Here is a 14453-nt window from a genome sequence, read left to right as displayed (position 1 = left end):
AATGTGATGGCCTCCACCATAGAAAATTATCACTTGAATATCAACTGCCTAATTCAGGCTACTCATACATCTTCTTTTGTAGAAGAGTGTATCTCACATTAAAGAGAATGACCCATCTTTTGAGACAATTATCTATCTTTTTTAAAAAGAAAAATATAAGTCTAAATCTAAAAATCTCTGTTGATTTTGAAGTGTGTATATTAAGGATAATGTTTCTTCCAAATATAAACTTTGGTTACTCTTATATGCTATAGAACTACTTATTTATTAAATTATTTAGTTATGATTTAAACTCATCAACAATATCCACATCTAATTAACAATTCTAAACAGCTCTATAGTAATAATCTTGCTAAATATTTGTATTGTTTTCCCCATGCTATTTTTTAAATTATCTTAATTTAGAGTTTTGAGTATCATACTAGAATATAGAAAACTAGGTAGCCCTCTTTAGCTCCATTACTTAATTCCTCCTAAAATATGAGGTACTTCAATTTAAATGTCCTGCACATTGAGAAACGTAACAGGCAACATAAGTAGAGTGTGTGTGTGTGTGTGTGTGTGTGTGTGTGTGTGTGTGTGTGTGAGAGAGAGAGAGAGATTAAATTCTAAATAATATTATTTTATTGTTAATTCAAGAACTTATGTGACCTTAATTTCCAAGGCAAAATAAATTTGCCTAAGTTCAGTGGGAAAAAAAGACACTTACTTGCTGATATGGTTTGGCTGTGTCCCCACCCAAATCTCATCTTGTAGTCCCATAACCCCCATGTGTCATGGGAGGGATCCAGTGGGAGGTAATTTAATCATGGAGGCAATTACCCTCATGCTATTCTCATGATAGTTAATTCTCACAAGAGCTGATGGCTTCATAAGGGGCCTTTCCCCTCTAGCTCAGCACTTCTCCTTGCTACCACCATGTGAAGAAGGAGGTGTTTGCTTTCCCTTCCACCATCATTTTAAGTTTCCTGAGGCCTCTCAGCCATGCTGAACTATAAGTCAATTAAACCTCTTTCGTTTGTAAATTATCCAGTCTCAGGTATGTCTTTAATAGCAGCATGAGAACAGACTAATAGACTTGCATACTTTGCTATTTGCATAGTTGATTTATTACCTACTTTAAGTTTTCCTCAAATGCTAAAATCCCTGGTCCTTCTTGTGACAGCATGATGCAAATTCCAGAGGTAGCCCATGCTGGCCACCAAATACAAACAGCAAGGATGTTTTGTGGGTGCAAGAAACCTGGTCTTGGTAATAGTCACAATCCAGAGTTTGACTTTAATTCTGATTACCGATGTCCTCATGAAGATGGTGGCGTTGGTCAACCATGACCTACCTACTTCCATGACTCTGGTTTTTCACCTCAGTGATGAGTTTCTCTACAAATCTTTTAGGTTTACATTCTAGAATTGGAAGAAATGACATGGATCATCTCTATATACCAAGCTGCTTATTTTATAAATGAAAAATTGAGATTGGGGGATATAATTTGCCAAAGGTCACTCTATTTATAGCTTCAATTTTTGGTGCTAAGATTGCTAGAATAACATGAGAAGTAAGCTGAGTGGAAGAGGATCAGTGCAGCTTCTGGAGAAGCTCAAATTTGGGAATGTCTAGATTAAAAAGCAGGTCAGTTGGGTGAGTTTTAATTCTGGTTCCATCCATTTCTAACCTTGGGGAATTCACTTAAATTCATGAATCTCCATTTTCTACTCTACAAGATAAGCAATCAAAGACTCTCAAAATCTCCAATAACCTTGAGCAAATGAGGAAGGTAAAATGTGTATTCCTGATTGTTGAATAGAGAACAAAATTTGTGATAACCCCAAGACTGGAAGTGTTAGAATATAATAATAGCTAATTTTTATTGATCATTTACTATTTTCTAAATATGGTGGTAGATGCTGTATGTGCATTTTTTTATTTAATCATCTCAACTTTGAGATAGATTCTACTATTATGTTGATGTTGCAGGTGAGGAATGGAAAGTTAGGTTAAGTAACTGATTCAAGGTTTCTACCTATTAAGTGGGGCAATAAGGATTTTAGCCCAGGTTGTCTAACTCTAAAGCAATGCTTTAAATACTGCACCGCCCTTTGGATAACTCATTTTGCTGGCATGTTTCTCAACGAGTCACTTTTCTGGACTTTTTTCTCTGAGAACAAACACGCTTCTCCATGACTCCTGATAAAATCCAATTCCTAGCTCTGCAGGCAGCCATTCACTCCATTTACGTTCCCACTGGCATCTGTAAATTAGCCTCTGGTAATTATCTGTGTGGGAAGCAGCCAGCAGCACACAGAACATTGTAACTGTTGGTCCGCTTCCAACACGGGAATTCAGCATTCCTGAGTCATAAATCAACCGACCATGGCCCAACTTGAGGATGTGTTTGCTCATGCTTTAAAAATAGGCTTAAATTCCATAGTGGTGGGCAAATACACCTTTTGATATTTACCTGAAATACTAAATCTGCCATCCAAAAGAAAGAACAGGTGTTCACACCTTGCCCTCAAAGACAATTGATTCCCACTCTGTTTGACCAGATGGTGAGTACAATTTGGGAGCACCTGTCCCCTCTTGAGAATGTCTTCTCTCTAGTTCCAGAAGTCATATTCCGGGACCAGAAATGCTGCCTTAGAAATAGCTTTAAGTAATTCAAAAGTTAAGGTTCAGGCGCGATAGCAGGAGAATAACTTATTCCCCAAGAGGCCTAAAATTTCACAGAGTTCTATTTTGTTACATCACTGGACACTGGAACACTTTTTTTATAGTGTTTCATTTTAGAGGAACTGAAGCACATGGGGAAGATGAAACTAAAACTACCCAAAAGAATAGGGAATTTTGGGCTTACGTCAGGTGTGTCTGCAAACTACAGTATGTGGGCCAACCTGCCTGCTGCCTGTTTTAGTAAATAAAGATTTATTAGAACTCAGCCACATCCATTTGTTGGTGTATTGTTTATGGCTGCTTTTGTAGGACACAGCAGAGTTGAGTAGTTACGGCAGAGATTGTAAAATACGTAAAGCCTAAAATATTTATTATATGGCCCTTTACAGAAAAAGTTTGCTGACCACTGGCTTAAGGCATGGAGAATGGGAAAGTTTAATGTACTTCCTTCTTTGGAAGTTTTTATAAGTTTTTTTATCATTTTATCTTTAAAGGAAAAAGCAGAAGTACTCAGATCAGGTTACCCATTGTATCTCATTTAAGAAACTGCAAACTAGATATCCGGAGACTACATACTGAACTGGGCCAGCAGGAGGAAAGGGGAGAGTATCAGCTGTTCTAAATGGCATCAGTTCTATTAGCAGATGGTCACAGTGCCACTCCCATAACAAGGAACAAAACTTCAAACTCTACCATTAAAACACCTCAATACTGTTAGAGGTATCCCACAATAGCAAGCTGTACTTCTTGACATAAGAAGGGAAGAGAAAGAAAGAAAGGATGCCAGACATAATGGAAGACACATCTGAGGGCACTGAAGACGTATTTATCTCATCACAATATCTAGGCCTAGCCATGTAATTCCCTTTAAAAGTGTGTGGAAATGGGCCAAGAAGAAGCTAAACAAACAGGTCTTGCTGGGTGTTCCCCTCAGTAGTATGTTAGTATTAGATCATACCCTTTCTGTCTAATCACATTTCTACATGGCTGTCCATACTTTGTTGAACCTAAGAATAAACGTGGACATTTTTTTAAAACAGAACTGCCATTTTATCTAGCAATGCCACTACTGGGTATTTATCCAAAGGAAAAGAAATCAGTATATCAAAAGAATAGCTGCACACCTATGCTTATCCCAACACTATTCACAATAGCAAATATATGCAATCGGTGAACAGATAAGAAAAATATGGTATGTATACACAAACATTATTCTGCCATAAAAAATAAAATCATATCATTTGCAGCAACACGGATGAAACTGAAGGTAATTAAGTGAAATAATGCAGGCACAGAAGGACATTTATTACATGTTCTCACTTACACGTGGGAGCTGAAAGAAAGCTGATCTCATGAAGATGGAGAATAGAAAGATACCAGAGGCTAGGAAGGGTTTGTGGCTGGGACTGAAGAGACTGGTTAGTGGGTGCAAACACACAGCTAGATAGAAGAAATAAGCTCCAATATTCTATAGCAGAGTAGAGTGACCACAGTTAGCAACAGTGTATTGTATATTTCAAAGTAGCTAGAATAGAAGACTTAAGATGTTATGTTATCGACACATAGAAATGATAAATACTCAAGGTGATGGACACTCCAAACACCCTCACTTGGTCACTACACATTCTATGCATGTAGCAAATACTCAACATGTAGCCCATCGATATGTAAAATACTTTGTATCAATTTTTCTTCAAATGGACACTTTTCTGTGTCTCTTTGGTTTTCATTCTGAAGGCTCCCATGTCACGCAAAACTATGACCAAGTAAATTTGTATGCCTTTTTTTCTTTCCTATTAAAAACTGTGAAAAAAATAAGAAACCATGTAAAATAAGTCTTCTCTGAGGGCTGAGATTCAGACCCTAAAAGTCAAGAACAAAAAACATGATTGATTCTTTGGTCTAAGCAGGAGATGAAGAACAGATTTAAAGAGACAGCACTTAAGATAAATAAACCAGATCCTAAAATAAAAGACGGTTATAATTTTCTACTGAGAATCTAGTCTTCAACACTTGTATTTCAAAATACCTCAGTCTCTTTTATTCCCGAATCATCTTGGGATTCCACTGAGAAAGTAGCAACTTAAATTAGATTGGCAGGTGATTAAGGAAATGACCGAATTAATTTTTACCTTCAAAACAGTATCCTGGAAATTCTCAAATTTAAAAATTTACTGAAGCACAAATTGGTACTGCATGTTGACTTGGTGAACTGAAATTAGTCCTTTAAGCAATGAACAAGCATATCTGATAGCCCAGTGCTCCCATCCCAAAGTAGCTTGATAGTTCTCAGTTCACCTTCTCCATAAAGCAACATGGAAAAATTGATTATAAAAATAGTTCTCCAAGGAAACCCACCTGCTAGTGCTAGTAGAAAAAAAAAAGTAAAGAAGGCTAAGAAAATGATAGCTTTCTAAAGCCATAACATAGAAAGCTATTGGCTACATGCTATATTGTGATAGTCATGAATGCGGGCATTTCAAAGTGCTGTTAGCTATATCCCATGCTTATGTCAAATGAGGTATCAGGGCAGGGAGGGGTATAAAGAAATCCAGTTGTGGTACGGTATATTCTGGGACTTGTAGTGTATCATATACACATTGGTCCAAAATATCAATTAATTTAGCAGTGGGTTTTGAATGCCTCCTTGGTAGAGGAGGACCATGTTCATGAATGTAAGATTCTAGAGGTGAATGTAACCATAAACCAAGTGCAGACAGTGGGGGCAAGTACAATCTCCACATACTGCTATGTCGCAATACAGTGACTTTGAAACGATTCAGCATATTTGACAGTCAATAGTAAAGAAAAACTAATGTGGAGGCTTTAGGGGACAATATTTCAAGACAGTAAAAGATATAGTCCTTCTGGAAGATCAAATGAAGAGCAAATACCTGGAAGTTATCTACTACAGCATCCAACAGGAAACTTCAGAGAACTATTTGGTATTCTCAATAAAATGTATTTTTGAATTTTCTACTATAAAATAATAGAGTACTGCTATCTGGAGAGAACAGGCCAGAATAAGAAATTTAAAATGTGATGAAAATGGTAAAAATTTGTAAAAAAAAAATAGATGAAATGAAAATGAAAAATGTAATGAGACACAGATGAAAATGCAGGAGTTTAGGATTCTCATCTGAGAATTCACAGGGGCATACATGTCTGCTCATCAGTTTTCATTATTTTTATTATTTGCATGTCTTTGGTTGGAAATATGTACGCATTTTTAGGATATAAGCCAGTCACTGGGTTATAGAGTATATGCACATTCGATGTTAGTAAATACTGTCAAACAATTTCCAAAGTGGCTGTACTAATTTGCATTCCCATCAGCAGTGTATGAGAGTTCCAATTACCCCCATCCTTGACAACACTTGACTTTTAGAGTAGCTACTTTTTCAAAACTAGAATTGGTGTGTGTGTATGTGTGTGTGTGTGTGTGTGTGTGTATTTGTATCAATTTCTGGTTTTAATTTGCATTTCTCTGATGCCTAGTAAACGTGACCAACATTTTATATGTTTCCTACCCCTTGGATATACTTTTCTGGGTTCACATCTTTTATCCATTTTCTACTGGACATTCTACCTTTTTCTTATTAACTTGTAGGAGTTCTTTACATATTATGAATACAAGTCCCATTCTGAAGCTTGCCTTTTCATTTTAATAATTTTGATGAACACAATAATTTATCAATTTCCCCTTATAATTGGATCTTTTTGTGTACCATTTTGAATGCTATTTAAGAAATTTTTGCCTAGATTTCTTAGGCAAATTGTTTAGAATGTTTTCCCCCTCCCAGATGAAAATTGTCTGTATTTTTTTCTAAGAGCTTTATTGTTTTACTTAGCCTATCAAGATCTATGATTCATCTGGAATTTATTTTTGTGCATCAAGAGTCAAGAGACACTTTTCTATATTGATAACCAGTTGAACCAACACTATTAGCAATGAAAAACCTTTGACCGTCAATATGGTCACCAATCAAATGACCACATATGTGAGTCATCATTGACATTTGTATGATGTTGAATCTTCTTACCTACTTGTTCTGACCTAAAGCTAATTCCAGTGAATCTAGAACACTTAGTGCAATCTTCAGATCACAGTGGAAGTTCATGGAAACTACGTGACAAAAGGAGTTACAACCTAAGTCCACCACACAGTTGGCCCAATGGGATACTGAACCTAGTCCTCAGATATTTTTTTAGTTTCTGTGTATATGGTTGGAATAAACAATCAGCAGCTGACAAAACATCCACATTGGCTTTCTAATACATTAAGAATTATTATGCAAAGAAGAGCCAGTATATCTCCCTCTCCCTACCAAAATATTAAACCAAAAGTAATATATCTTCATGGAAAATTCTGAATTTAATGCTACCATAAATAATTTGAAATATACAGGACTAATGACTCCTGTCATACCACCATTTGAATCACCATTTGGTCTATGCAAGAAGACAACTGGAGTTTGGGAGATAGAATTAAATCATTGATAACTCAACTAGGTGATGATTTTAATTGGAGCTGCTCTTCCAGATGTGGTCTCTTTATTGTGATCAAATCACAGTAAATAAATAAATAAATAAATAAATGGCAACAAAACCCCTATTACTTAGTAGCAGATATTATCCTGGTAAATGCTTTTTTTCTATCCCATGAAACAAAAATTACCAGAAATATTTTGGGTTTTTTTTTACTTTTTAAAATTTATTTTTAACTGACAAATAATAATTGTACATATTCATGGGGTACATAGTGATGTTTTGGTATATATATGGTGAACAGATCAGGATAATTAGTATATCCATCTCATTTATCAGTTTTTTTTTTTAAACTTTTTTTAACCTTTTAAGTTCAAGGGTACATGTGCAGAATTTGTTGCATAGGTAAGCTTGTGTCATGGGGTTTGTTGTAGAGATTATTTCATCACCCAGGTATTAAGCCTAGTACTCATTAGTTATTTTTCCTGATCCTCTCCTTTGTCCCAACCTCACCCTCCAATAGACCCCAGTGTGTGTTGTTCCCCAATACATGTCCATGTGGTCTCATCATTTAGCTCCCACTTATAAGTGAGAACATATCATATTTGGCTTTCTGTTCCTGCGTTACTTTGCTGAGGATAATGCCTTCCAGCTCCTTTCATGTCCCTGCAAATGTCATGATCTCATTATTTTTTATGCCTGCACAGTATTCCATGGTGTATATGTACCACATTTTCTTTATCCAGTCTGTCATTGATGGACATTTAGGTTGATTCCATGTCTTAGCTCTTAGCATTTTGTTTTCATTTGGTAGGGTCAGAAACACAACTTTTCAAAAATTTGACACAATGATATCTCACCTCTCCAAAACCAAAGGCTTCAACATCCCACGTGACATTGCACTGGTCTACTGTATCCTGCTAAATGAACCTGATAAGCAGGAAGTAGCAGACATCAAGATGCATGCCAACAGACGAAAAACAAATTCTTGAAGAATCGCCACACTGTCTTCCACAATGGTTGAACTAGTTTACAGTCCCACCAACAGTGTAAAAGTGTTCCTATTTCTCCACATCCTCTCTAGCACCTGTTGTTTCCTGACTTTTTAATGATTGCCATTCTAACTGGTGTGAGATGGTATGTCATTGTGGTTTTGATTTGCATTTCTCTGATGGCTAGTGATGATGAGCATTTTTTCATGTGTCTGTCGGCTGCATAAATGTCTTGAGAAGTGTCTGTTCATATCCTTTGCCCACTTTTTGATGGGGTTGTTTGATTTTTTCTTGTAAATTTAAGTTCTTTGTAGATTCTGGATATTAGCCCTTTGTCAGATGGGTAGATTGTAAAACTAACAATCATTCTGAGCAAACTATCACAAGGACAGAAAACCAAACGCCGCATGTTCTCACTCATAGGTGGGAATTGAAAAATGAGGGCACTTGGACACAGGGTAGGGAACATCACACACCGGGGCCTGTCGTGGGGTGGGGGGAGGGGGGAGGGATAGCATTAGGAGATATACCTAATGTAAATGACGAGTTAATGGGTGCAGCACACCAACATGGCACACGTATACATATGTAACAAACCTGCACGTTATGCACATGTACCCTAGAACTGAAATTTATAAAAAGAAAAAGAAAAACAAATTCAATGTAGAGGCTGGGTCAGTAAAGTTTCTAAGGAGTCCAAAGGTCTGAGTCATACTAGAATATTCCTTTCAACATGAAAGGCAATTTGCTGCACATTAATCTCACCAACGGAGTATCGATCATTTTTGTGGCCCACTTTAATTTTAAGAAAAACATGTCCCATACTTGGGTGTGATATGCTGACCTATTTATTGAGCATTCTAAAAGACTGTCAAACATGAGTGGGCTCAGAGCAAGAGAAGGCTTGTTGTTCATTGTTCGTTGCAGAACATGCAACTCCGCCATTTGAACTTTATGACCCAGCAAAGTCAGCAGTTCTCAGAGGTGCACAATCAGGATACTGTGTGAAAATTGTAGCAAGCCCCAGTAGAGTACTCCTAGAGGATTTTGCTGTAATTATTATTTTGAATAAAACTTTTTGGTGGCTACTGGACCTTGTAGAGTCAATGCTTCAACATGGGACACCCAATGAACATACAAGTGGAGTTATCTATCCTGAATTGGGTATTAGCTGATCCCCTAAGCCATAAGTCTAGAGTGCCCAGCAAGACTCCATAATCAAGTGGAAAAGGTAAATATATGAAATTGAATTCAAATAGATGTTAAGGCACAAAATATGAGTTTGCTTTCTATTTCCAGTGTGCATACTCATACTGCAATGTAATGTTGCCAACAACTTGGGGTACATAGTGATATTTTGATACATATAATATCAAAACATAAGGAGGGCCCTACATTAACTTGATTGAGAAGGAAAATACTATTTCCTGCTTTACCAGCTAGCTCTGGATTATATGAGAGTAAATCAGAATTTCCAACAACATGTTGTTGCCCACTTTATTCAGAAAAAGAAATGGTCTGAGGTGTGACTCTTTCTCATTTCTTGGGAAATAGCTAATAGTTTGTCCATATATATATACATACAGCATATATATATATATATATACACATACAGCATATATATATATACATACAGCATATATATATATATACACATACAGCATATATATATATATATGCTAAAAAGCTAATAGAGGAATTAATACCTGATTAACACAAAACAAAAGGACATAAGACAGATAAGACAAATAGAAAAATAGCAAAGTGATGGAACTAAGTATAACTGTAACAGTAATCACATCAAATGTAAATGGTCTAGATATCCCTAAAGACAGATTAATTTTAAAAAGGAAGACCTAACTGCCTACTGTCTACAGGAAACACACTTCAAACACAAAGGCATAAATAAATTGAATGTAAGAGGATAGAATATCATACAAACACAAATCAAAAGAAAGCCAGAATGGCTATATTAATATCAGAAAAAATAAACTTTAAGACAAGGAATATTATTAGATCCAAAAAGGAAATTTTATAATGATAAAAGGGTTAATAAATCAGGGAGATATAACAAATGTAAACTTATATGCCCCTAAGAGCTTTAATATACATGAAAGGAATAAAGTAAAAAAAGGGATACATGGAGAATTCAAAACATTATTTCTTAATATACCTCTTATAGTAATTGATCAAATGACTAGGCAAAATGTCACTAAAGATAAAAAAATTTGAAAAACACTATCCACCACTTTAATTTGGTACTATAAATTAAAAGTCTTAAAAGTACACATTTTGATCAAATAATTACATTCCTAGGAATCTAAAGAATCAGAAATAGGAACAAACCTATAACACAAAATATCCATCTAACTTCATTTCTAATGGTAAGAAATAGATATAACCTAAATTTCTTCTTTTTGTTTTTTAGAGATGGGGGTCTCACTATATTGTCCAAGCTGGACCAGAACTCCTGGATTCAAGTGATGCTCCCAGAGGTATCAGCCTCTCGAGTAGCTGGGTCCACAGGTATATACCACTGTGCCTGGCTCTAAATTTTTAATAACACTGAATTTTAGGTATTGCAAATGATCATATGTATATACAAACACTAAACATTTTTATGAAAATATATTAACCTAAGTATTTTACCTAACACTATCTGAGAAAAAGATAAACTTTAAACAACAGTCATAGGCAGGTAGTGGGGAGATAAGGGAACTTTGACCTTCTGTAGTTTATATTTCTATAATATTAAAATTTCAAAATTAAATCTGTATTACTTTTTTCATCAGAAAAAAGTATTAAGAAAAAGCAGAATGTGAAATTGAATACACAGAAGAATTATCTGTGTAAAGCTTAGCTATGAATACATAGAGAATATGGCCCCTTCCCTTAAGAGGCTTAGAACTGTAGGGGCAGCTGAGAGATACTCAGGTATAGAGTGATTACAGCTGCCATGAAAGTACATGATGTGGCACCTGCCTGAGATTGGGATGGGAGCGGGTGAGCAGTATGTGGGAGGCTTTGGAGAAACAATCTTTACGGAAAAGCTAAGACAGAGAAAGTTACTCATTTGACCCATCTGCAGCATTTGGCTGTTGACAATTTCCTTCTTAATTTCAACACTCCTGGTTTCATCTTACGTGTCTGACCACTTCTCTGCCTCTTTGATTCGCTCATCTTTTTCTACCTACTTTTAAATCTTGAAGTTCCTCAAAACTTGGTGGGGGAGATTCTAAAAATGGCTACAATGCTAAGTAAATACAGAGATGCTGAGGAAACTGAGATGGCATGGGAGGAGCCTAGAGACAGTATACAATTCTTTCCCCTCTTTACAATTTTGAAGTTTTATTTTATTATTATTACTATTATTTTGAGATGGAGACTCACTCTGTTGCCCCAGCTGGAGTGCAATTTGTTATCACAACAATACACAAACAGGCCAGGTGTGGTGGCTCACACCTGTAATCCCAGCACTTTGGGAGGCCAAGGAGGGCAGATTATCTGAGGTCAAGAGTTCAAGACCAGCCTGACCAACATGGTGAAACCCCATCTTTACTAAAAATACAAAAATTAGCCAGCCATGGTGGCGGGTGCCTGTAATCTCAGCTACTCAGGAACCTGAGGCAGGAGAATTGCTTGAACCCGGGAGGCAGAGGTTGCAGTGAGCCGAGATCGCCCCACTGCAATCCAGCCTGGGAAAAAGAGCCAGACTCCATCTAAAAAAAAAAAAAAAAAAGTTTAAGAAATCAAATAATGTAAAACTAATCATAAAAAGAGGCATCTCTCCTCCACCAGTCTGTAGCCTTCTTCTCCTCCACCATCCTCCCGGTGTAGTTCTATCACAGCTGTAAACTAAATCATGATATAGTGTTTCCATCATTAGGAGTGCATTAAGAAAGGTCTTGTAATTACATTTCTTTCTTGTCCTGTTTTCTGGGATTTGGAAAAATTATTAATGCCTCTTGCTTTTTTCTTCTAATTCGAAAGTCTCAGGGTCTCCCACACGTTCATAAATCCTCGTCAAAACTATTTTCTGTGTGGTCAAATGCGTCAGATAATCTACGTTTCTAAAACTACACCCTCTCCATTTTAAATTCTCTGTAGTTAGAGAATGATTTCTGACTCCTGAGGCGGGCAAGGGTGATTGGCTGCTTCTCAAGTGGGGAGGTGGGCACGGGGGATGGCGTCAGAAACTATGACAGAAACTTTCAGGTAACCCCCTCTGCTTTTAGTCCCGTGACTTCACCTCATCCTCCCTGGAGCCGGCTGCTACCAAATCCTGAAAAGGTCTCAGTTCTCATCAGCCAGCGCTGGGTTTCCATCTTCCTCTGTTCTGCTTTCAATCTTAGAAAAATGTGTTTACATCTCCCGTCCATTATTGCCTCTTCTCTTTCTCTAAAATCTTATGGTTTGACTTATTTTACTGTCAATTTAGTGAGAATTGGGAAGGGCAGAAAGAGGAATGTCTTCAGTCCATCATTGAACAGCACTCCTATCCTTACCTTTTTAATCAACTTGTACCAAAGTTACCTTTTCTTCTGTACAATTCCTTTCTCAGCTACCCATGTACCTGTGTGTGCCCCTCCTAACCCATGTAGTCAAGTTCCCACTTCCCTTCTTCCCTCACCGGGCCGATCTTGATTTCCTGTTAACCTTTTCCTGTGGAATAATGTCCTGGATATCAGATGCAGACAAGAAGAAACAAAAGAAACTTGAGAATATTTTGAATATGGTTGTTGTTCTCTGAGAAGTCATCTGGCTCCTTCCCTCAAGGAGAGGCCACTTCCCTAACTCAATGTCCTCGGGAAAATGTTAGCCTTGGTAGCTCACCCATCATCCCTTCATCATGCAGGGCTCCCAGGTCACAATGAGGTTCAGCCAGCTGACCTGCAATGCATTCTTATTCCTGGAATGTTGACGTCTCCCTGGTAACAATTTCCATGGGTTCTCCCTTGTTTTTAGGTTGCCATTTAACAGAGTATTGAAAGCTGCAAACTTTTCTGGAATTCTTACTGAAATTACTTTCATTTGGGGACATTATACTAATCCCATTATATAGCAGGCTCAAATTTCTAAAAGGGTCCTTGGGCACACATACTACAAAATACCCACATGTATGCCTATCTTCTCTATCTATACTCACTCCTCGGGTGCCCTCATCCCATTTATGCTTTTACATGCCATCTCTATGCTGGTGGCTCACACATTTATTTCTAAAGTCCTGGCCTCAACATGTGTATATTTGACTGTCTACTCTACTTTTCTACTTGGTTGTCTAATGTGTATCTCCTAACACAATCAAAACCAAGCTGTCAGTGCAGCAAACTTTAGCTCTGGTAATCTTTTCATTATTAGATTATAAATGATTTTTTAAAGTTCTTTTATCTGTATATATCACCAGCATCTGACTGAGAAATTGACTGTATTTTGGTTTCTTAGTCGTGGACTCATCAGGTATCCATCTCATCAGGGTATCTATCTTAGGGCTGTTTTGAAGGTCTGGGCTTTTATGACCCCATGGTAGATCTAAGGGACTTTTGTTTAAAACAAAAAGACACCAACAACAACAAAAGCAGGTTTTCTGAGGCATGGTTGAAAATAGAAAAGGCTGCCGGATATGGTGGCTCATGCCTGTAATCCCAGCACTTTGGGAGGCCAAGGCAGGCAGATTACCTGAGGTCAGGAGTTCAAGACCAGCCTGGACAACATGGTGAAACCCTGTCTCTACAAAACATACAAAAATTAACCGGGCATGATGGCGCATGACTGTAATCCCAGCTACTTGAGAGGCTGAGGCAGGAGAATTGCTTGAGCCTGGGAGGTGGAGGCTGCAGTGATCTGAGATCACGCCACTGCACTCCAGCCTGGGTCACAGAGCAAGACTGTCTCAAAAAAAAAAAAAAGAAAGAAAGAAAAAGAAAAAGGAAAGAAAATAGAGAATGCTCAAAGAGTCGACATGGGATGTGGAGGTGGAAGGATGGGAGGAAAAATGGTGAGCTCCTCAAGGGGTGTACATGCCCCCAACACTTGGAGATAAACAAAATATATTTAACTACTTATATTAATTCTAAATATATATTTAAATATTAATATTAATTTCATTTAACATTGCAATACAAACAATAAAAGTTTTTTCTAAGTATAATTTTAAATGGCTGTTCTGTATGGATCTAATAAAATTTACCTTCATTTCCTGTTCAGTGGATATTTAACTTGTTTCTATTTTTCACAGTTATGAATGATGCTATAATTAATATGTTTTGTGGAAATCTGCATTTTGGATTATTTCCTTAGGATAGA

The 14453-nt window shown here is 37.0% G+C and overlaps 1 long non-coding RNA gene across 1 annotated transcript in view; it reads right to left on the bottom strand.

The window, feature by feature from the left end:
* Positions 1–13798, bottom strand: part of LOC101929492 (uncharacterized) — a 126333-nt gene extending 112535 nt beyond the window's left edge. The window contains exon 1 of the long non-coding RNA XR_949649.3: positions 12781–13798. This is a non-coding gene — a long non-coding RNA (uncharacterized LOC101929492). The remainder of the gene's footprint in view (positions 1–12780) is intronic.
* Positions 13799–14453: the final 655 nt, after the last annotated feature.

Source organism: Homo sapiens, chromosome 8, assembly GCF_000001405.40.
Source record: "Homo sapiens chromosome 8, GRCh38.p14 Primary Assembly".
Classification (NCBI taxonomy): Eukaryota; Metazoa; Chordata; class Mammalia; order Primates; family Hominidae; genus Homo; species Homo sapiens.
This window is presented reverse-complemented; position numbering and strand designations above follow the sequence as displayed.